At 41.0% G+C, this 24,931-nt stretch overlaps 1 protein-coding gene across 14 annotated transcripts in view; it reads right to left on the bottom strand.

The window, feature by feature from the left end:
• Positions 1-24,931, bottom strand: part of NOSTRIN (nitric oxide synthase trafficking) — a 78,976-nt gene that overhangs the window by 14,497 nt on the left and 39,548 nt on the right. For 5 of the 14 annotated variants that reach the window (XR_007069110.1, XR_922836.2, NM_001171631.2 and 2 more), the window contains 6 exons: positions 22,798-22,860; positions 22,517-22,598; positions 19,484-19,546; positions 16,693-16,791; positions 7,901-8,026; positions 12-182 (listed from right to left, as the gene is read on the bottom strand). Coding sequence is in view for 12 of the 14 variants with exons in the window: in NM_001171631.2 (NP_001165102.1) it covers positions 12-182; positions 7,901-8,026; positions 16,693-16,791; positions 19,484-19,546; positions 22,517-22,598; positions 22,798-22,860 (604 nt within the window). In the remaining 2 variants the exon portion in view is untranslated. Of the gene's footprint in view, positions 1-11; positions 183-4,066; positions 4,176-7,900; positions 8,027-16,692; positions 16,792-19,483; positions 19,547-22,516; positions 22,599-22,797; positions 22,861-24,053; positions 24,507-24,931 lie in introns of those variants that run through there. The other 9 variants (NM_001039724.4, NM_001171632.2, NM_052946.4 and 6 more) reach the window with 6 other exon arrangements.

Below are 24,931 nucleotides of genomic sequence, written 5' to 3'. Positions count from 1 at the left end.
CACTGACACACCTGAAGACAGACTGAACAAAGTCTCATGATTAGCCTCTTGACTATGTCATATCCAAACCATAGTGGAGGGAGATTTCCAGGAAGGAATGTGTCTTGGTATCTTAAATCACTCACACACTTTCCCCAGGCTCTTTTGACCCAAAAGGCATATAGGCAGATGCTGTGGGTTACCTAAGTTTATGAGGAAGGGGGAGAAAAGAAGAAAAGGAAGCATTTGAGACACAATCATGGATTCCAGAGAATTCCAGAGAATTTCAGTAGAGATGGGGTTTCACCATGTTGGGCAGGCTGGCCTTGAACTCCTGACCTCAGATGGTCCACCTGTCTTGGCCTCCCAAAGTGCTAGGATTACAGGCATGAGCCACCGCGCCTAGCCAGGCCTTGTTTTTACAAAAAAAAAAAAAAAAAAATTGGGAAGAATTCCAGAGGGTGAAGCCCAGGAAAGCCCATATCCATGTCTTGGAAATGCATTGAGACACCCAATAGTTTTAGAATTGTTTATAGTACATTCAAGGCGTTCTGCTAGTCTGCAGGGAAGAGAATGACAGGCCACAAATTCTCTGTTTAAGGAGGTTATTTGACAAGAGAAGAATCCCAAAGTCTGACCAATTTATAATTCTGCCTAAAATTAGGCCTGGGAGTCAGAGTCCGCTGTTTGCAGGTAGACACATAGCCTCTTTATTTTGTGTGAGATGACAGAAGTTTCATTATTAGACTTATGACTTTTAGGTAGGAAGGGTAAATAAGAAAGTGAGGGGAATCACATTTGCTTTGTTAGCTATTAACATTTTAGAGGCCGGGCACAGTGGCTCATGCCTATAATCCCAGCACGTTGGGAGGCCAGGGTGGGAGGATCACCTGAGGTCAGGAGTTTGAGACCAGCCCAGCCAACATGGTGAAACCTTATCTCTACTAAAAATACAAAAATTAGCCAGGCATGGTGGCACACGCCTGTAATCCCAGCTACTCAGGAGGTTGAGGCAGAATTGCCTGAACCCAGGAGGTGAAGTTTGCAGTGAGCCGAGATCATGCTACTGCACTCCAGCCTGGGTGACAAAAGTGAAACTGTCTCAAAAAAAAAAAAAAAATGAGAAAATGTTACTTATTGGACCCATGCCAACTGAGTTGCTGACTGGTGGTTTTACAGGGGGCAGAAAGCTTTAGCAACTAAGCATTCTTAGAGAAGGCTGGCTCAGGCAGAGTATTCAGGGAGACTCCAAGGCCATGTGGGGGCAGTGTAAGGCTGCTGGGTATGTGCCCAGGGGACTTTGGGCTTTGATGGAGATGGCAGGTGTCCAAGACAAAATTCTTCCCATCTTTTTTTTTTTTTTTTTTTGTAAAAACAAGGCCTGGCTAGGTGCGGTGGCTCATGCCTATAATCCCAGCATTTTGGGAGGCCGAGACGGGTGAACTACCTGAGGTCAGGAGTTCAAGGCCAGCCTGCCCAACGTGGCAAAACCCCGTCTCTACTAAAAATACAAAAATTAGCCAGGCCTGGTGGCGGGCGCCTGTCGTCCCAGCTACTCAGGAGGCTGAGGCAGGAGAATCGCTTGGACCTGGGAGGTGGTGGTTGCAGTGAGCTGAGATCATGCCACTGCACTCCAGCCTGTGCAAAAGAGTGAGATTCCATCTCAAAAAAAAGAAAAGAAGAAAGAGAAAGAAAGAAAGAAAAAATACAAGGCCTGGGCATTCATCCTTTTATCCAGGGAAGTCCAGCTCAGTTGCTCTCATACCCACCATCCCAACTCCTGCATCCCACAAAGAGCACCAGCAATCATCTTTCATGAACAAGGCTTTGGAGAAGTTGGTGGGTAACACGACCATAGGGAAGAAGAAAGATGGGTATGTCTCAAGGCCCTTGGCAGTGCAAGAGAGGTGAGAATGGAGAGTCACAAAGATCACTGGGTTCTCCTTGCTCACCTCTTGAAATTCCTACAGGAGCCCATTGGCCTGATTCAGTATGGTATTCCTCTATATCCCTGTGTTGTTAATTCATCTATGGTATATGGTGATTAAAATTATTTTAAATTTCTTTATACTTTTAATTATGGTAAAATTTACATAATATGACATGCCATTTTATCCACCTTAGGCATCCATTTCAGTGTCATTAAGTGCATTCACATTATTATGCAAACACCACCATAATTCATCTCTAAAACTTTTTTCATCTTGCAAAAGTAAACCGTACCCATGAAACAACGACTTCTCATTTCCTACGCTCTGCATCCCCTGGCAACCACCATTCTACTTTCTGTCTCTACAAATTTAACTACTCTTGATACCTCTTACAAGAGGAATCATACACTACTTGTTCTTTTGCATCTGGCTATTTCACTTAGCATAATGTCTGCAAGGTTCATCCATGTTGTAGCATGTGCCAGAATTCCCTTCCTTTTTGGCTGAATAATATTCCATGGTATGCATATACCACATTTTGTTTTTTGGTATATAGTCATTTGAACACTGCTTGCAAATGAAAGTAGTAAAAGGCTCAGGCAGTAACTATGAACATCTGTGCCAATCACATGCAACTTTAGCTTTTGTATCAAGTGTCCTGACATTTGGATTGGAAGCCTGGAGCCACGCCCCCATGGCAATCTTCTTAGTTGCCTCTGAAGCTGCCCAATTTTCATATGTCAATGGGAGTCAAATGGATTGGTTTACGCTGGCAGTCCCCTGAGGCTTTCACAAAATTGCAGGCACCAGTCATTTGAATGTGGCCGTCTGCCCTTCTGTCTCCCAGATAAAGGATTAAAGACACAGAATAGCCTATCAAATGTTTTGCTTCTTAAAAGGCAGAATCGATATGCCTCATAACAAATACGTAAAACAAATTCTGCTCAGTTGTTTGGATCTCCTATGTGACAATCTTCAAAAAGAAGAAGTCCTTACCCTATAGAAAAAGATCTAGAAATCAGCTCTTCTGTTTTAGCCTATGAGCAAGAGAGAAGAGAAAATAAAAGCCAGGTTTTAGAACATATTGCATCCCTAGTGGGCAGGTGTTTCTTTACTTTGACAAGTGCTGAACCACTAGCATCAATCTGAGACTAGAATAACCAGTGTTCCTTAGTGACATGGTAATGCTTAACAGATTTTAATTACATTTCAGGGAAATCATTAAAATGATCTATGTTTGCTCATAAGAAGAGGAGGAAATAAATTCCACTGTGCAAAGGAGAGATCCATATCTAATGATTTTTTGCTTTTTATTATCTTGTTCTTTTTATATAAAATAGGTGGTAGAGAAGCAAGATACTCTGGAGGACCTCAAACTGTCCTCTTGAGGTTCCACAATAGTATATATGAACAAAGTGTGGTCAAGGAGTTATCCAGAAAGATTCAGATTTCAGCAGATTTAGAGCCTGTCTGGGGCCCAAGCATCATGACAATTTGTTCTTCATTCGTTCCTTCCAGTTCTTGCTGTCCTAGCCTTTGGGCTGGTACTACAGGAAGAAGTCAAAGGGATTTTGTTTTCATTTAAATGACTCTCATAGAACTGATAAAAGAAATATGCTCTTTCTAGAGCAGGGACTCTCAAACTTTAGAATATCTAGACCCCTCTTTATAATCATTCAGAGGCTCTGATTGATTCAGAGGCTCCCAGGTCTAGGGAGGTGATCAGGAATCTGACTTTTAAGCACCCCAGGCGCTTTGAGACATTGTCCTAGGGCCACAGAGGCCCACAAAAAATACATTTTAAAATCATAATTCTTCCACCCAGAAGTGACTGCTATTAACATATTGATATATTTCAGTCTAGGTATGTGTATATGTATGATTTTATCTTCTAGTTATCTATCAAATTATTCAAATTTGAAATTCTGTTTTTTCCACTTAACCGTACATGTGAACAGTTTCCCGTGCCATTAGTCTCTGAAAATACCACTTTAATTATTTCATAAGCATCCATGGTGCAGGCGTGTTTATTCACTTAGTCATCCCTTTAATGTTGGACATTTGGGATGTTTGCTGCCTTTAACATGTTTCAAATAGAAATCTGTGTCTGGTTTGTCAGCTACTTCCTCAAGACACTTTTATAGAAAGGAAATTACCTTTTTCAACAGAGTCCTAGGAAAGAATGAAGCCCTACTGTCCTGAGGCGTCCATTTTATGTAATGAGTTGTCATTCGTCTCATCTAGAGTGGGACTACTCAAGTGCCATCCTTGGGAGAACTGAGAAAGCAGCCACTCGAATCATTTTCTGTGTTCTGGGATTTAGAGGAGGAACACTGGTTGAGAAAGGGAATATTTTTAAGGCTCTTGACACATATTGCAGATGGCTTTTAAAAATAATTCCTTGAGTAAGTACTTCAGTACCAAGCATTTGATTCTTTGTAATTCTTGGTAGTATGGTTATTATTGTGAAAAATATAGGTTATTTCTATCATCTGAAGTGTTTCTTCTTGGAGGGTGGGATGTGGCTAGAATACAGTATGATTGTGAAGTAATAAGACTAATTTTGACATGTGGTTTGTGGAATTGGTTTCATTACTTATAGTCACATTTGAGGCTTTACAATATTTCTCACAGTATCTACTACACTGCCTTGAATGTAGTTCAATGCATGTTCTCTGAAGGAATTTGTACATCCAACCTGTAGAGTAAAAAGGAATAAGAGAACACTTCGTAGGACCCTAAAATGAATTTTTATATTCAATTTGTACAGAAGAATGGTGAAAGAATGGAGAAAAAATGAAACTGAGAGACCCTAACTGTCCCATTTCCATCTCTCACACTTATAATAAAATTCCTCTTTGAGTCAATTCAGGCTGTTTTTGTTATATGTCTTCATGAATCTAACATTTGACACTTGAGTGCCATAAACATACACAAAATATGGCATACATAGAGTAATATGTGAGTCAATGACCTTCTGGTATAGACTGAGTATACACAAGCCCAGGAAATACCAACTAAGGGCATCATTATTGAGGGTTCAAGTGAAGCAAGAGTGACTGGACAGAAGTCGTCTCACGTTGTGGCTAATGGGCTTGAGATGGCTCTCAGGAGGCAGGAGAGAACTCAGAGGAAGGTGGGGTAGGAGAAGCTGTATGAACTAAAAAGGACACGGACTGAAACACTGGTGGCCTCCAGCATAGAGGTAGCAAAAATCCAGGATACAAGAGGGGAGAAAGAAAATGCTCTTCCTCAAGGACATTATGATGAGTAGATATTCCATGTGACTTGGATTCTAACAAAAAAAAAAAAAAAAAGGAAGAAAAAAACTAAAACTAGGTCTTAAATATTTTTAGAGCTGAAGTTGAAAGATGCCTTTTGAAATGTAAATGAATGTATACCTTGTTACCATCAGGAAGACTGTAAGAAAAGAGATAATTTCCATGATGCTTCAACATAAACACTGGGAATGCTGAGAAGGGGGAGTGGTGGTTGTAGGGGAAACATGTAGAGGATCTTAACAGGAGGAAAGGAAACTGAGATGAAGGAGAGGCGTAGCAAGAGCTTCTGATAATGAAGATAATCATAGCCTTCCCTAACATATATTGAAGAAGGCAAGCTAGTTATCAGCTACACCAGGTAGGACCCATTTATCTCCCATTGCTGCGATGTAGGTAGAAGGGTGATGAGGATAGAGACACTGAGGTGAAATATTTTTCTCATAGCCCTTGAAGGGTGGGTGCCTGGAAGATGGAGTGGGAGCAGAAATGTCTCTCCCATCTCCTAACAGGGCCATCCAAGGAAGCTGACCTCAGTGGAAAGACCACGGCTTCATCAGGAAGTGATGAGGTGAGGTGAGGCAAGATCAGAGCCCAGGTTGCAGAGCCAGATTTCAAATGAATCAAGTTAGAATTTAAATCCCTGACCTTTTCTCATCACCTTCATCTAAAATCTATCTAGCATAAACCAAGAGAGTACCCGGAGCTTATGTTCAAAGGTGTAAATTAAGGAATTTTTTCTCATTTGTTCCCCTCTTTGACCCAAGTTTTCATCTCTCCTTTAATTTCCCCTTTCTTCTCTAATTCTGCATCTATCCTGCTCTGAGTGGTTGAATTGCAAGAGATGTAAATGCAGCCGTTGGGTTTCCGCCTGCCATATAGCCTTTGCTCTCCCAGTTTTCAATGGGGCAGGAGCATAATGCAGAGGTCCAGGCTGAATCTTTTTTTTTTTTTCTTTTTGAGACGGAGTCTTGCTCTGTCGCCTAGGCTAGTGTGCAGTGGCATGATCTCGGCTCACTGCAAGCTCTGCCTCCCGGGTTCACGCCATTCTCCTGCCTCAGCCTCCCGAGTAGCTGGGACAACAGGCGCCCGCCACCACGCGCGGCTAATTTTTTCTATTTTTAGTAGAGACGGGGTTTCGCCGTGTTAGCCAGGATGGTCTCGATCTCCTGACCTCTTGATCCGCCCGCCTCTGCCTCCCAAAGTGCTGGGATTACAGGCGTGCCGCCCAGGCTGAATCTTAAACCATCTCAGGCTCATTGCTTCATCTTTCCAGCCTCAATGTTCTCATAATGTCATGATTAATACAAAACAGAAACACATGAATGTGCTTAGCACAGCCTAAAAGAGGAGCACTGAGCACCAAGTACTTGTTCCAGGCTGGCCATCAGATCATGGCTTTCTCCAATTGTATCTGCTTTAAACATTTTTTTTTTAAACTTAAAACAGGTGGGGAAAAATAAAACCAAAATATTCATGTTCTTACTCTCCAGAATTGATAGTTATTTAATTTGGTCATATTTATGTAGAGCCTGGGGTTGTACTGCTTCACCAGGGGCCGTGCATAAGCTGCGTGGCTGTTTCTGGCAGTTCTGTTGTATTCCCACCATGGGCTCCATTTCTGTCACTGAACACAGGGACAGTCCCCATGTATAAGTTTACAAACACACACATATAAACTCAGTATAGTTTGCGCATGAGTTTAAAAGAATGTTGATTTACACAGATTGTGTAAGTGGTATATTTCTTTTCCTCAACATCATGTTTTTCGAGGTTAATTCATGTTTAAATATAGTTTTAATTAACTTTTCATTGATGGATATTAGTTCACTTTCCAAATGCGAGCATATTTGAAGAGTAATTCTTCTCTTGATGGATATGAAGATTGCGTACAGTTTTTTCTCACATGCAATTATAAACAATTCTCCCATAAACATTCTTGTGCATCACTCTTGGAGTACAAATGTACATTTTTCTGTAGGATATATGCCTAAAAAGGGAACTGCTGCAGTAAGTACATGCTTATTTTAGTTTCACTAAATATCATTAAATTATTCCCCCTACAGGGGTACAATAATTCTTGTTTCCTAACATCCTTACCAACACTTGATATTGTCAAGTTCTAATTTTTGCCAAATAATCTAGCATTGTTTCATAGGCTTATCGATGATTTTGATTTCTCCTTTTGTGATGTGCTTGCTGACATATTTTGCCCATTATTATCAGATAATTTGCCACAATTCCTTCTTTATGTGTCTACTTTTGCCACTGAGATGTACACATCTCAAGCATTGAGATGTTACTTTATTCAATGCTCTGTATCTCCAGTGCCTAACACGATGCCTGACCTCCATAAGCGATCACTGTATGAGTCATCACTCATGCCTAAAACTAATTTTGAAGCACCTAACACTTAAGCCTTAATTTACGCTTCACTTTGACAGCACTTTTTGAAGTTAGCTGGGTGCTATCCTGTCCACTAAGAATTAGGAGCAGAAACTCTGGCCAGTGAAATTCAATAAATTGTCACTGGTAATTGTATCCATGGAGAAACTGAAACAATGAGAGGAAATGTGGTTTGTCTGAAGTCACAATATGTGTGATGCTCATAGCTAAGACAGAGGGCAGGTCTTGTCACTGTAATCTGACCTCCATCTTCAAGGTCACACAAAGCTCCACAGAAGAAGAAAAAAATGTGAATATATAACTTACCTGGTAGCAGTTCTCTAGTGTGTTTTCCCATTTCAGTCTGGTAGAATAACCCGCCATGTTTTTTTGGTAGTAATTTTCATCTTCCTTTTCCAACTTTTCAGTTGATTTTGTCAGTTTATTGAGGAGCTAATGTAAAACATCAATGTCACACATTTACTAACACATTTTTGAAAGCCCTTTGTAATTCCATAGTAATAATTATATGTGGCTCAATGATATGTTTCTCACCTCTCACGTAGAGTCATAAACAGTGACTATAGTTGACAAAATGAAAGATCTTTATAAGAAAAAAAGGCATGGCCAAACCTAAAGGAAACCCAAGGGCCTTCCAGTATGATTCCCCCAATTTTACACATGAGGAGATTGAGACCCTTAAATAGGAAGTGATTTGTCTACACTCACACAGTCAAGGAGAAGGTCAAACAACACAGCTTTTGAGAATTGACAGTACAGGTCAAGATTGCAATTGGCCAATGAATCCCATAGTCTTATCTGGTAAATCTTTTGGGCTCCTGCACTTCTTACCAGGTTAGGTAGAGACTTGTGGAATCATACAATTTTTAGAACTAATTTTTAGAATGAGTCTGGCTACTGTCCTATCTAGCGATATTATTTTACTTTTACTATATAAACCCAGAAGTAGAGCTTTGGAATCAAACTTCCAGGATAAGAGTCCTGGTCCTAGCTGCAAACAAGTTACTTAACCTTACTGAGCCACAGTTTTCTCATCTCTGTGATGGGGATAGGTAATTAATACATACCGGGTTGCTTTGAGAATTCAGGCACATCTTGGGACTCAGAAAACAATACCACAAAATCAAGGCCTCAGAAGCAGCCTCAGAAGTAAAAGTTTCTCTCTGACCTTCTTCTGCCCTCCTGTCTCTCACTCCCATTCTCCCCTGAGGCTATTGGTAGAAACCAGAATCCCTCTTCCCCAAAGAAGGTCACAGAAACCAGAACCTCTTTTCTCCAAAGCCAGCCATAAAATCTAAAAATATTAGTCTCACTTTCCCCTGCCTTTCTGTGTAAAAACTGTCCATAAAGAAATTATCTGACCTACCTTGTCTGACTGTAGATCATAAGACCCCTATTCCAGAGAGGATCCTGCCCCATTCCCAGCAGGAAGGAAGGCTGCACAGAGAGGCCAAGAAGACTCCAGAAAGACAGCCTTACTGGGTTTCCCCACACAGTCTATTAGCATTAGATTACACCCCTTTTGTACATAATATTTGTACATGGATGTCCGTATTTTGTTAAACCTAAGCATAAACATAGACAAGTTCCCCTGTATATTTGGAACTTCGTTCTGAAGGCTCCCATGTCACATAAAACTATGATCAAATACATTTGTATGCCTTTTCTCCTATTCATCTGTCTCTTGTCAGTGATTTTCAGCCAAACTTCAGGGGCAAAAGGGAAGATTTCCCTTGGCCCTGACATAGGTAACACAGATAAGGCAAATGGCACACTGCCCAACACCTGGCATAGCACTCAAAATTTAGCGAGTGTAATTATTGCCAGTGAAAAGCCTGAGATACATGCCCAATGTTCACTGCAAGTTATGGACAGCTTGATAAGATGGTTTCCTCTCATCCTGCTCCCCAATGATCTGCTCCCTTACAAAGAGCCCCCCTCTTGCCCATCACCAAAATTTGTCATTCTGATTACTAAATCTTCTGGAAAATCAGTGTACAGTAATATAAAACTCCCTGGGCCAGGGTAGCTGAAACTGACTCTCAAAATGCCCAGACAAGTAATTTCATGTTTCTGAAAAACAAAGAAGTTGGATTGCATGAATTATTCTCCAACTTTATATATATATATTTAAAGCATTCAATATCTTTCTTTTTCTTTTCTTTTTTTTTTTTTTTTTTTTTTTTTTGGAGACAGGGTCTGGCTCTGTCACCCAGGCTGGAGTTCAGTGACAGAATCATGGCTCACTGGCTCACTGCAACCTCCTTGTCCCGGGTTCAAGCAATGCTCCCATCTCAGCCTCCCAAGTAGCTGGGACTAGTTTTTATATTTTTTGCAGAGGTGGGGTTTCACCATGTTGCCCAGTCTGGTCTCCAACTCCTGGGCTCAAGCGATCTGTCTACCTCAGCCTCCCAAAATTTTAGGATCATGAGTGTGGGCCATCGCACCCAGCCGATTCTCCAACTTTACTCTATTTAGAAATGACCTGAAATGCTTGTAAAAATTACAAATTCCAGAATTCTACAAGTAGCAATACTTATTTCATACATCTGTAGTGGGATTAGAAAATCTGAGTTTTGACTATAGCTCCCCAGATCGTTCTGATGCAAATGGTCTTCAAACCATTCTTTAAAAAACATCAAAGATCCCCCCGGACTTAGTAGTTTAGGAGTTTCAAGGACAGAGACAAAGGCTGTTAAAATGGACTCTCTCTATTTAAGGGCATTTTGACTAACCTTACAATCATGAAAAACATTCATCCAAAATGTTGAACGTTAATACCATTCACTTTATTATTCCAATTGATACTAAGGCTATACAACTGTCCCCCAGCTCTGATGCATGACCTACACAGGACATATCTGTTTTTTTGTTTTTTTTTTTTTTTTTTTTTTGAGATGGAGTCTCGCCCTGTCCCCCAGGCTGGAGTGCAGTGGCACGATCTCAGCTCACTGCAAGCTCCGCCTCCGGGGTTCACGCCATTCTCCTGCCTCAGCCTCCTGAGTAGCTGGGACTACAGGTGCCTGCCACCACGCCCGGCTAATTTTTTGTATTTTTAGTAGAGACGGGGTTTCACCATGTTAGCCCGGATGGTCTCGATCTCCTGACCTCGTGATCCGCCCGTTTCAGCCTCCCAAAGTGCTGGGATTACAGGCGTGAGCCACCGCGCCCAGCTGACATATCTGGTTTTGTACCAAGTTTAATGAACCACATGTGTCTGTAGAAACTCAAGCTTGTGAACATTAACCTGGCAACAGTTCAATGCAAGGACTCAAAGAGAGTCATGGTTATACTCTGCTAAATCATTGTCCTCGGATTCTTATTGAGAATGCTCAGCACCCCAGGAATGAGAACTGAGTTGCTTTTGAGATCACCATTAATATTCATCAGCCTGCACTATAGAGCTGTGGACTAGAATTTTCTGCTCAGCAAATTTACAGCAGATAGTTCAAGTATATATATGAAAGAAGAATGTATACTCATACACACACACACACACACATATATATATATATATATATATTTTTTTTTTTTTTTTTGAGACGGAGTCTCTCTGGTCGGCCAGGCTGGAGTACAGTGGTGCGATCTCAGCTCACTACAACCTCCGCCTCTCAGGTTCAAGCGATTCGCCTGCCTCAGCCTCCCGAGTAGCTGGGATTACAGGCATGTGCCACCACGCCCAGGATTTCACCATCTTGGCCAGGCTGGTCTTGAACTCCTGACCTCAGGTAATCTGCCCACCTCAGCCTCCCGAAGTGCTGGGATTATAGGCCTGAGCCACTGCGCCCGGCTGTAGACTCCTGTATTCTTACTTAAGGAACTTCTCAGAAACCTTTACTAAAATTTGTCAAAGATTGACTTCTTTTCCTTTCGTCCCTTTTTTTGCTCTTGGAACAAACATCGCATTCATTTATTCACCAGACATTGAGGGCCTTCCGTGTGTCATGTGCAAGGCTTTAGGAATAGAAAATGGAACAAGACAGGCTCCCTCTCTAGTCAGGGACCCACAGACCATTACCATCTTGTGTGCTGATAGAGTTATGTAGGTACCACTGGAAGGACATCAAGAGAGGCATCTAAACTAGCCTTGAAATTAAAATGACATTTAAGCTATAATTTGGCTCATAGTAAGTGCTCAAAAATCGATCTCCATATGAATAAAACTAAAATGAAAGTAGGAGTTGGTGAGGCAAAATAGTATGGCAGGATACAGAAAGATATTTTTTGGTGAAGTTGGATCACACAGCTTACGACGGAGAATGGGGAGAGGTGATGTTGAAGAGATTGGCAAGGTTCAAGTCAGGAAGGGTCTTACAGGCCACATGAAAGAGTTTTTCCTGGCTGGGTGTGGTGGTTCACGCCCGTAATCCCAGCACTTTGGGAGGCCAAGTCGGGCAGATCACCTGTGGTCAGGAGTTCGAGAACAGCCTGGCCAACATGGTGAAAACCTGTCTCTACTAAAAATACAAAAAATTAGCTGGGCATGGTGGTGAGTGCCTGTAATCCCAGCTACTTGGGAGGCTAAGGCAGAATTGTTGAACTTGGGAGGCAGAGGTTGCAGTCGGCCCAGATTGCACCATTGCACTCCAGCCTGGGCAACAAGAGCAAAACTCCGTCTCAAAAAAAAAAAAAAAGAGTTTTTTTTATTTATTCTGAAGTCATTGGGAAGCCTTTGAAGGCTTTCAAAAGGAATGATATGCTCAGATTCGAGTTTAAGAAAAGTCAGCTTGGCTTGTACATGGGGAATAGATAGGAACAGGCAACACTGAAAGCAAAGAGACTGATTTGTTGGTTACAAAAAACCAAGCAAAAGATGATTGCGGCCTGAGAGAGGATGTCAGCAGTGGAGATAGACAAAAGCAAAGATATTCAAGAAGTATTTGGGGCTGGGCACGGTGGCTCGCGCCTGTAATCCCAGTATTTTGGGAGGCCAAGGCGGGCGGATCACTTGATGTTTGGAGTTCGAGACCAGCCTGGCCAACATGGCAAAACCCCATCTCTACTAAAAATACAAAAATTAGCCAGATGTGATGGCGCACGCCTGTACTCCCAGCTACTTGGGAGGCTGAGGAAGGAGGATCACTTGAAACTGGAAGGCAGAGGTTGCAGTGAGCTGAGACTGTGCCACTGAAGGATCTGGTTTGAGTTAGAATTGGGAGGATAGGTGGGTGATGATATTCAAAGACACAGAGAACACAGGAATAAAGATTATCTTTGGTAGAAAAAAAGTGATGGTTGGATTTTGGATATTGAGTTTAAGGAGTCAGAAAGCAGTTTACAGACTGGTTTGGACTGGAGATATAAATTTGGGTATTGCCAGCATAGATACTGTAGTTGAATCCTTGAGAATATACTTATTGAGTATGTATTATTTATCGAGTACCTGATATCAAGAGTACTGTATCAGACACTGGAGAGACAATGGTGAAGAGAATAGAGTGAGGCCCAGAAGAGAAATCTTCAGAAACTGCAATATATAAAGATCAGGCCAAAAAAGGGAGCCCATAAAGAAATCTAATTTAAAATTTACAGAAAGTAGGAGGAAAATAAAAGCATTAGTTGTTACTAAAGTGAAAAGAAGAGAATGTTTCTAGAAACGGGAAATAAACAATGCTTAATACTTCCGAGAAGTTAACTAAGGTAAGACTTGGAAAGTACCTGTTAGCTTTAGCAATGAGAAGACATTGTTTTCGATGGCAAGAACACTCTTAGTGGAAAGATGGGGAAAGCTTGATTAGGGTGATTTGAAGAGTGAACAGAAGATGAGGAAGTGGAAACAGAGCAGATAGATACCCCTTTCACTAAGATATATTGTGACCGGGCGCGGTGGCTCACGCCTGTAATCCCAGCACTTTGGGAGGCCGAGGCGGGCGGATCACGAAGTCAGGAGATCGAGACTATCCTAGCTAACTCGGTGAAATCCCATCTCTACTAAAAAATATAAAAAATTAGCTGGGTGTGGTGGCGGGGCCTGTAGTCCCAGCTACTCGGGAGGCTGAGGCAGGAGAATGTCATGAACCCAGAAGGCGGAGCTTGCAGTAAGCCGAGATCGCGCCACTGCACTCCAGCCTGGGCGACACAGCAAGACTCCATCTCAAAAAAAAAAAAAAAAAAAAAAAAAAAGATGTTAAAAAAGTGTATTATAAAAAAAAAAGATGTATTGTAAAAAGGAGACATGACAATATCTGGAGAGGAATGTGAGACCCCATAAATAAGTGTTCCTGTAACTTTCTTTACTCTTGCAAGATGGGAGGAAGATGCAATAGACTATTTGTGCCCTCCCACCAGATTAGGCCATGAGGGTGGAACCCTCATGAATGGGATTACTGCCCTTATAGAAGAGGCCCCAGGGAGCTTCCTTGCTCTCTTTCCACCACGTGAGAATGCAATGAGAAGTAGCCGGTCTGCAACCTGAAAGAGGAAGCCTCACCAGATAGCACCTGATCCCACACTTCCAGAATGTCTGCTGTTGAAGCCACCTCCATCTATGGAACTTGGTTATAGCAGCCTGAACAGACTATAAGACAGGGGGAGTTATAGAAGGCTGGTGGGGAGGAATCATTAGGGAGTGGGCTGTCCAAGATATGGGAAATATGGGATAATCAAGAGAGGGCCTCTGGGAGGCAGAATGGGATGAGATTAGAGCACAGGATGCAGAACTGGCCTCTCCATTGCAGATATGTAAATGCTATTACTTCAGTAGGCAGGTGGCTGTGCTGACTTCTATTTACTCTGTGAGGTAGGAGGCAAGATACTGTGCCAGGAGTGTGTGGATGGAGGTGTGAGGAGAACGGAGGTTTAGATCAGCTTCTGGTGGGAATCAAGACTGCTGAGCAGGAAACCAGGAAGAATTTGCTGAGCAGCACAGAGCATCAGCTCAGGTGATCATGAGCGCTTCTATGTGAGATGAGAAAATGAATGCCCCCCGCTTGGGTGTTCAGCTTCAGGATTAACAAAAGCTGCCAGATTAAGCAGTGAAGATGGCATGGGTGTATGACAGAGTAACAGCCAAGGTTATGGTTACCAGCTGGAGGAGAGGAGAGAGCACTGTGGATCTTTACTTCCCAGGGAAGCTGCTGATGGGGGTAGGAAGAGGAAATTCACCACTTAGCTGCCATGCTTTTTTCTTTATTATTGCATGACATCAATAAAGAATAGCTTCTAATGAGCACTCAGAATGCCTAGGCAGGTCCTGGCACTGAGTATTTTAACAGACTGGGTTCGCCTCTTCGGAAGCTGCCTCATTATTCAATACTTGTTATGATCATTTCCAACTGTGAAGACTGACATGGAAAGAAATAAGAGTCTTGTAAAATCTTGCTAACAATGAATTTAAGTTATTCAATGGATATTTCTTCAGATGAAAGAGCTACTGGTGATGACAATTTTCTCTTCCTTTGTAAGGGGTTTGCAGTGGTGCTGGTTGCATTTCCTTAGTGGAGACTCATCTTTTGTAGAAGATATCGACTATTTCAAAGGTTTTCAATCTGGGACACATACCACAAGAGGGGTGCAAGATAATCTATTGGGGTGTAAGCAGAAAATGTTCATTTTGTTCCTGTACCCCAATATTATTCGTGTTCATTTTGCCTGAAAACACAGTTGTCAAGCTTACTCTTATTTAATATATGAGTCTACACTGGTGCTCACACATGGACAGTTGTGGATTCTGATATGGCCTGGGGGAAGGGTGGGGATTCTGCAACCTGAAAAGCTGCCCTAGGCCCTCACTGTGTTTTCCCTTCCAGCATCTGGGACATGTGGCCATTGACATATACCTGGGCCATGTGATTTTACAGACATTTTCTGGCTCCAGTTAGGTTAACATACACAAAATGCACAAATATCTTAGAGGATTTCTGCCAAGAACCTGTGGATTGATGTTACTACCAACAATTTAACCACAAAGAATCCACAGCAAAATGTCCAAGCTGATGCTGCCACCTCTCCTGGTTGTGAGTTTGTTACTACCCACATGAAAGGGCAAACACTGAAATGAGATCTGACAAAAAATTTGATGAACAAATTACATTATCGAGAAGGCTGGCCAGGGGCGGTGGCTCATGCCTATAATCCCAGCACTTTGAGAGGCTAAGGCAGGAAGATCACTTGAGGTCAGGAGTTCGAGACCAGCCTGGCCAACATGGTGACACCTCGCCTCTACTAAAAATGCAAAAAAAAATTAGCCGAGCATGGTGGTGCACACCTGTAGTCCCAGCTACTTGGGAGGCTGGGGTGGGATAATTGCTTGAAGCCTGGAGTGGGAGGATGCAATGAGCCAAGATTGCACCACTGCCCTCCAGCCTGGGCCACAGAGTGAGACTCTGTCTCAAGAAAAAAAAAAATTATCAAGAAGACTATTCGAAATATGCATTTAAATTTACTATAGTTAAGGCTGAACCTTGCTCCAAGTATACATTTTTCCTGAAAACATTACTTAATGATTATCTAAAGACATCATGGTTTGCTAATCATTTAAAATATTATTTCATCTTTATTTCATCCTGGAAACATTTCTACTTTTATGCTTTATAATGTTCATAACATATTAACATAATACATAAAGTACTATATGTAACAAACAACATATATATAGTATTTATTTTTACTTATTTGGGGTATTAGCTGAGAGGTTTTTTTAAGATATTAATAGAGTTTCCTTTAAAAAAATGTGGGCATCATTGGTCTCATTTGTCATCTGTCAATAATATTTTTTAAAAATACATGTGGTCCAGGCAAAGTAGCATGCTCCTGTAGTCCCAGCTACTTGAGAGGCTGAGGTGGGAGGATCCCTTGAGCCTAGGACTTTGATGCCAGCCTGGGCAGCACAGTGAGATCCCTTCTATTTAAAAGAATTAAAATAAAGTTTAAAATGTATGTGGTGTGTGTGTGTGTGTGTGTGTGTGTGTGTGTGTGCGCGCGCGCGCGCGCGCACGCCAGTAATGATTTGGAATCCCCTTTTATGCTCTGTCAAGCTACATCTCTGCAGGAATCCCACAGAGAAGGAGGAATCAACCCGTTCTCTTGTGTTCGTAGCTAAGGGCAGCAAGTCCATCCCTCTCTATGGCACATGCGCCCAGCCAGCCATGACAGCTTACCTTCCGCTTCTCCTTCTCAGTCATAGATTGCTTGGAGCTTTCTACAAGCTGGAAAAGTGCTTCATGTTTCTTGGTACTAACCATTAATTTCTTCTTGGCCTAGAGTAAAAAACATACAAACAAGAAAAAAAGGAGCAGAGGCTGATGCCAAGAGAAAACTCTCCTCTTTTGGAACAAAGCACATTCATGTGCTAGCTTTAACAATTATGTATCCTAGAATCCTCCAAAGGCTGAAACAAAAATGTGTACTTTTAGTTCTTCATTCCCATCCTCACTTCAAAATGTACCTAAAACATCAGAGCAGCTAACACTTTGTCCGGAGAACTCCTGCATACTTTTTCATTATATCGGGTACCCTCAAGAGGATTTTGAATTTTGCTAAATCATCAAAGGCCTGCAAGCCTCCAAAATAATGTTCTAGTGAGCATAATGGCTTTACCACAGAAGATATCACAGCAAACACAGAAGACTGCCTGCATCATTCTTTACATCAACCTAGGCCACGATTTGAGATTGTTTTAAGATGTTCTCTTAAAACGTGCAGCAAGGGTCACAATTCTGCTCCCTGATGGCCAAGCCTGAGAGTTGGGCATTTGTCTGGCATCTTGTGAAATGCCCTGCACTTGCTGGAGTTGGAGAAGTAGAAAGAAGTAGGGAAGGAAGGAGCACTCAAGAGTCTCCCTACCCTGTTCATGCTGACCCTTTGGAGTGGGTTAGGATTTAGGGGATAATTTCCTAGTCTACATGGTTGAATTTAACTGAAGATGATGCTCCAGAGATAAATTATGCAAACAGAATTTGGTTTAAGTTGGATTTAGCCTGTTCAGGAAGTAGGCTGATTGAAAGACTTTGGCTTTTTGCCTCAAGGTTGCAAGGACTGTCAAACCAGATAGTAAAGGAGAGGTCTCTCTTCCTTGGCTTTTTAGCTTGGGAATCAAAGGCAAAGCCTTCTGCCTCCCTCTAAACGTGGGAAGCCTCTGCAAAGGAAAATTAAAGAAATAAGCTCATGGCCCTCTTTCTCCACCTCCCGTCAGCCACATGCCTGCTGGGAAATGAGAGTGTGACGCATGAATATTTGGTCCTTTAAGGCTTTTCATTAGAGTCTCCCAAATAGACTACTTCATTACTGACATGCTGAATCCCTTGAATTGTAACTGGGGAGAAAATTATTATAGCCCAATAATTTTATGTTCTCTAATTTCGCTGTCACTCTTTATTTAAAAAAATGAAATCTTTTATTTAAAAAAATGACTTGATAGAAACTGGGAAATGATAAAAGATGTTTTTTCTTGGGAGCAATTGCAGCCTCTCAGCATTATTTCTGGCTTTTGATTCATTGTACTGAATTCCTGTGAAAGCTGAATATTAAAAGAAAATGGATTTTTAAAAACAAATCCTTTTAAAGGCCAGGTGTAGTGGCTCATCCCTGTAATCCCTACACTTTAGGAAGCCAAGGTGGGCAGATCCCTTGTGCCCAGGAGTTCGGGATCAGCCTGGGCAACATAGCAAGACCCTGTCTCTATTTCTTTAAAAAAAATACAAAACAATTCCTTTTAAAGAAAACTCATAAAATCCATGGCAAAACTAAAAAGCAAATGACTGGATACTGTTTCTGGGACTTTACTTTTTATAAAAGTGATTCTCATGAGCATCCTTTTACCATTGTAACTACTGTGGATACAGAAATTCACTTACATCAAACACTTTTTATTAATGTCCTTGGTCTTATGGAGTCAGTCCTCAGTTTTGGCAGAAGCTTTGGAAGTAACACCAAGTTTGCCTGTCTCTGAGTGCGTCTGTCTCTAGTTATTTGGCATCAGTGGCTGTTTACTTGTAAAGGTTCTCTGTGGGCACTAACGCTTTGGAGATGAAAAAGGATTTCAACACTTAGAGAACAAGTCTTCTCAGAGGGGTTCATTGAATCTTGTTAGTAGATTTACTGCTAGTCCTTTCTACCTGAAATGAATTCCTCCTATACTACATTGTTCTAGAATAATCTTCTGTGCATATGGATCCCATCTGTTATTTTCTCTGCTTAAGAACTCATACAGATATGCTCTAGCTTCCCACGCCAGATCGTAATTCCTCCTAGAATGTATTCCCTATTTCCTGCACACGTCATCTAGCCAACTAAATTTTAAATTACTTGAAAAAAATTATGTCTTAGAATAGTGTTGTGCACAAAAAGTGGACCCCACATACTCATGAAATTGATATACGCATCCCCTTTTACATATCACTACCCACCCCTCACTGGGCCACTCTCACTAATGATGTAGAGATCACTAACACCTTTCTACAAATGAAAAAAACAAAACCCAGGTGGTGTTTATCATATTCTGTAAGTTACAAATTATACAGAAAGGTAGTCAGTATAATGGAATGATTAAGAGCAGTGACCCTGGAACCCAACTTGTGACAACCATTGGTTCAACCATTAACCAGCTCTGTATCCTTGGGAAAATTACTGAAACTCTCTGTGTCTCCATTGCCCAATCTGTAAAATGGGGCAATGCACAATGACATATGACATTGGGTTGTTGTGATGATTAAATACATAAATATATAGCACTTAGCACATAATAAGTGCTAAATAATCATAGTTAGAGCCATGCACTTCCATTGGTTTGGTGAAAAATATATCTGTGTAACAACCAGGTAAGGAAACATTTTTCTCTTCAGTTAGCACTTAGAAGTACTAATGCTAGAACATGTCATCGCATTTGTATGAAAGCAAAACACTTCAATTCTAAAAACTGAGTTTACACAAATGGTATTTGTGGATACTTGCCTTAATTTGCTGATTCCAGTTGCTAATGACAAGATTTGCTGTCTTTTCAACTTCATTGTCAAGCTATTGAAAAAGGAAAAAGGAAACAAAGCTTTGCTTTCTTCTTGTTTAGTTGCTGTAATAGACTAAATGTTCGTGCCCCTAAAATGTATCGATTGAAACCTATTCCCTCAATGTGATGGTATTTGGAGGTGGAGGCTCTGAGAAATGATTAGTTCATGAGGGTGGAGCCCCCATGAATGAGATTAGTGCCCTTATAAAAGAGACCCCAAGAGCTGCCTAGCCCCTTCTGCCATCTGAGGTTACAGTGAGTAAATAGCCACTGATGAACCAGGAAGTGGGCCCTCATCACACAGCTAATGTGTGGGTGCCTTGCTCTTGGACTTCCCAGCCTCCAGAACTGTAAGAAATAAATTCCTATTATTTATAAGCTATCCAGTTTATGGTACTTTGTTAGAGCAGCCTGAACTAAGACAGTCACAGTACTAGCTTATCAATCACTATTACAATTCATGGGAATTTCAAGATCTTACAATGGACATATTAGCCAAATTATCTTATCCCTGTGTCAAGTAACAGGACTTGGTAAAATAATTATTTCTAATCTATAAGAATGTAAAAAGCATGTAAACATGTGCAATCATGTGTAACAGGCCCTTGCATGAGCTGATATTGTTGCTAGTCCCATCACATCATCTTCCACGTCAATCCATGCAGCAAAAACCTCAACACTATGAAAACTGGTAACAGTCCTAACTGCCAGTTTTACTGTGTGTCTCCATTACCCCTGAAGTGAATATTGCTTTAATTTCAAAGATATTGAACTCTTAATCATAATTAACTTTTTCCCTTGCTTTTAAACAGCCAAAGAGACAGTAATAATAATGATGAAAATGATCTAGACAACTTCCCAGGGAGATCTGATGTAAGTTACAGCAGAATGTTTTTCCCTGGAACACAGACCCAGCAGATCAGCCGTTATTCAACCACTCTGAGATCTAGCGAATGCTACACTTTCATTTTTTTCCAGTTGGTTAAATTTAGAGTATATGGTTCATTGTAACAGACATAATGAAAATATTTCATGTACTATGCCACTTTTGATTTCACATATGTGTCTGGAATGTGGAACAAGGTCACTTTAGAAAATAAAATCTAATCTTTTATATTTTGTGAGAGAGTGGAGTGGGGTGGTGGGGTGCAGTGGAGAGGGGCAATGCAGAAAAGAAGAAAAACAGGACAAGCATTTCGGGGGTGCTCATGACATCCATTAACTAAAGCACTGTGATTAACTGTCACAGCACTGTGCCTCATTTATGGTAAATACTAAAGAAATGCTAATGACTATCATATTATTATGCAGTGTGAAAAATATTTTGTAATCAACGAAATATAGACTAGTAATTGGTTTTTATTAAGTTGGCTTGCAAAGGCAGAAGGTTATATTGCTTGCTAGCAATTCCTATCAAGTTCTGTCCATCACCCGAAACTCTGAATAGAGCATCCATTCTGGTAAAATATACCTATGTACATACAAACATCAATTCCACTTCCTGACCCAGCTTAATGAGTTTGAATAAAATTTTTAAAAATCATTTCTCCTCCATCAGAACTTTCACACCTCTCCTCATCCTTCTGACTTGCCACTGAGGATGTGCTTTATCTGACTGTATTCCCTTGAAACTCCCCCTTAACCACTGCCCCTTCCCTTCACAGGGACCACCTACCACAGCTTACAAACATCTTACCTGCACCTGGTCATGAAACAAACAGTGACCATAACCCCACCCCTATCAGAGCCAAGCAGTGTTTATTAAACACCCAATTATGTTGCCTGGAAGTAGAGTATAAAGTGCTTAACTACTGAATAATACACAACGAAAAAGAAAAAGGAACACAAATGAAACTGTTCTAGGCCGAGGGCAGTGGCTCATGCCTGTAATCCCAGCACTTTGGGAGGCCAAGATGGGCGGATCACCTGAGGTCAGGAGTTGGAGACAAGCCTGACCAACATAGCGATCCCTGGTCTCTACTAAAAATACAAAAATTAGCCAGGCGTGGTGGCAGGCACCTGTAATGTCAGCTACTCGAGAGGCTGAGGCAGGCAAGTCACTTGAACCCAGGAGGTGGAGGTTGCAGTGAGCCAAGATGACGCCATTGCACTCCAGCCTGGGTGACAAGAGCAAAACTCCGTCAAAAAAAGAAAGAAAGGGAGAGAGAGAAAAAAAAAGAAAGAGAAGGAAGGAAGAAAGGAAGGGAGGGAGGGAGGGAAGGAAAGAAAGAAAAACTGTTCTAGAAGGAAAGGCACAGAGAAAGAGTAGAGGATCGGCTATTAGAGGACCAGGTGCCCCTGAAAGGATTGTTTAATTATCTTTCTGTAATTTTTAGGACATTTGAGGATTGTACTCATTATTACCTTTACATAATACCAAGCTAATAAGCGTAGAAAGCATCTTTGTAAAAATTGTGCTTATCATTCTCTTATTTATAAATAGAATAAAATTATTTTAAAAATGCAAAAAAGTATAAAAATGAAATAAAAATAACCTCCAATTTCACCATCTAAAGATCATTCTTATTAACATTTTGAGAAGCTTCTTCCAGCTTTTTCTATACATATATATACATATTCATTTTATAAAGTTGAGATTGTATAAATTAGACTTTTTCATTCTGCTTTATTTAGCAGTATACTGTGAAAAAAATCCCCATGTGATTAAATTCTTCTACAATAAGATTTTGAATCATTGCAAATTATTCTATTGCTTGAATTTATCACAATTTATTTTGAATGCTTCAGTAGTTTCCAGTTTTTCACTATTATAAGCAATGCTCTAACAAACATCCTTGTACATAAATCTTGGATTTGTGTTTTTTATTATTCATTTATTTTAAAATAAATAAAAGTATTTATTTTATTTTTAGGATAAATTCCTGAAACTTGGTACCACTTTCAGATCACCTTTTCCTTTTCTGGGCTAAACACAGGAATCTTGCTTTAAACAGGAAGAGTAAAGAAAGGTTTGGACTCACTGATTTTCTCTTCTTCTCTTGTACATTTAGGACTTGATAAGTCGGTTTTATTGCTTCCAATTCAATTGCTTTGCCAAGTTTTCTGGAAATAAAACATAAAAGACACATAAGCATAATATCAGCGTTTACATCTACTTTCCAAATTACTTTCTGGGGAAATAAAATAGTGTGTTATGGAACACCTATTCAGTGCAAGTTGGAAGTGGAATATTTGTAGCAAACCCACTTTAAATATTTGATTCCCTTTGGAGTTGGAGAAAGGCCAGGGTGGGAGAACTCACTGATGCAGGTCCGCTGTGGATTTCATTCCCTCTGAGGCCCAGGCCCAGGCACTGCTAACACAACTAAAGGCAAAAAAAAGTGGGGAACAAAGGTGAGTGTCATTTTCCTAGGAAATAGGATGTGCTGGCTAGAAATACAGCATCGCATCTGATTCACCACATTCAACAATTGCATTCACTTCCCTAACCTTATTTCAATTTCTCTATGAGATTACATTCTGCCAATACATTTATTTGCACTATACTCATTATATATACTGCTTTTTTCCCAGTTATTTTTCATTTAGATTTTCATTTCCTATTTCATATCTGTATAAAATAGAGGAAATGGCCAGGTGTGGTGGCACTGCCTCAGCCTCCTAAAGTGCCTGTAAATCCCAGCACTTTAGGAGGCTGAGGTGGGATGATCACTTGAGGCCACAGGTTCAAAACTAGCCTGTGCAACACACACAGCGAGACCTTTTCTCTACGAAAAACTTTTTAAAATTAGCCAGGTGTGGTGATGCACGCCCATAGTCCTAGCTACTAGGGAGGCCAAGGTAGGAGGATTGCTTGAGCCCAGGAAGCTACAGTGAGCTATGATCATGCCACTGTACTCCAGCCTGGGCAACAGAGCAAGACCGTATCCCCTGAGCCCCTCTCCCCACCAAAAAGAAAAAAATAAGTAATGAAAATAAAATAAAATAGGGGAAATAAAATAGCCAAGGATGAGAACAGGTTGGTCATAGGACACATAGATATGAAAAAACTGAGACTCAGAAAAGTTAAGTGATAAAGGGCTTGAGAGCCCTGTTCATGTCCTGCTGCTGCTCTTGGGGTTGGAGTCCAGTTCCTGTTCCCTGCTGGGTTTGAGGACAACAGCTCAGATAGTTAATGGTCCCATGAGCAGTATCTCACTTTAACACAAAGGATAATGCTACCCAGTCCCTCATGGCATAGCGGGAGGATTAGGGAGTGTGATGTCATTTTTCTTCCACAGTGGCCCCATGTAGTCTGCCTTCAACAGTCAGGATAGTAAGTCCAATCACATCAAGAAACCCCAGGTACAGAGGCCTGTGTAGATTTTGATGAAGAGGAAGGGGGTGGATCTGCATCCTTGCCTTAATCAGAATGGTACAGAGGTTTTGCCTCCAAATGCCTTAGTTTGCATCCTGCAGTCTAAGAATAAGAGAACTAGACCAAAAGATGCCAGATTTTCTGCACATCCAAAGCCAGATACAAGCTTAGGCACAAGAGCATACCTGCTATATACTTACAATTACAGGAGATTCCAGAAAACACTAAATGAATCTCTATTGACAGGAAGCAGGTCAGTGGTTGCTTGGAGTTGGGTGGGAAGGAGTGCAAACAGGCATGATAAATCTTTTGGCATGATGAAAATGTCTATGTTTTGATTTTAGTGGTGGCTACACAGGGTATTTACATATGTCAAAACTGATCAAATCATATGCTTAAAATGGGTGCTTATTATTGCATGTAAATTAAAACTCAGTAGAGCTGATTTTTAAAAAATGAAGTCAGGCACATTTCTGGGTAGAGCATCTGACATTTGCCCCTTGGAGGAGCTGGGTCTCAGGACAGGAACCAAGCATGTGGCCTCAGTCTGTGTCTGAATGGAGATGCTCCCCCTTTGTTTTCTGCATGACCTTGGAAGAATCTCTGGCCCTCACTTAACTGATCTTTTAAAGTAGAAGTAACTTGGTCAACACCTGTGAAAAGACAGGGTAAAAATGGAAAGAGAAGGAACGAAGGAAGCAAGGGAGGAAGGGAGGGAAGAGAAAGAAAGGAAAGAAAGAAAGAGAGAAAGAATTAGAAGTAATGAAGTAACAGGATATCTGTAGTACCTAACACAGATTTCGGTATGGATAAAAATTCTCTAATGTTTACTGTTAAATACTGTACTAATCCCAGTTGGCCTAACATTCTGGACCTGCCAACTCTTTGGTAGTATTCTGCTGGATGACAGAGCTGTAACACAATACACACACCCCTACACCCCTCATTCCTTAGGAGGCAATTCGAATCAAAAACGTAATGGACATTCACAGAGCTTTCGTTCCCTGCCAGGTACTCTGCTAAGCACACGTCTTATATTACCGTATTTAATTCTCACAGCAACCATAAGAGATAGGCT

Source organism: Homo sapiens, chromosome 2 (assembly GCF_000001405.40).
Source record: "Homo sapiens chromosome 2, GRCh38.p14 Primary Assembly".
Classification (NCBI taxonomy): Eukaryota; Metazoa; Chordata; class Mammalia; order Primates; family Hominidae; genus Homo; species Homo sapiens.
Note: the sequence above shows the minus strand (reverse complement) of the source record. Positions and strands in the feature narration are given on the sequence as shown.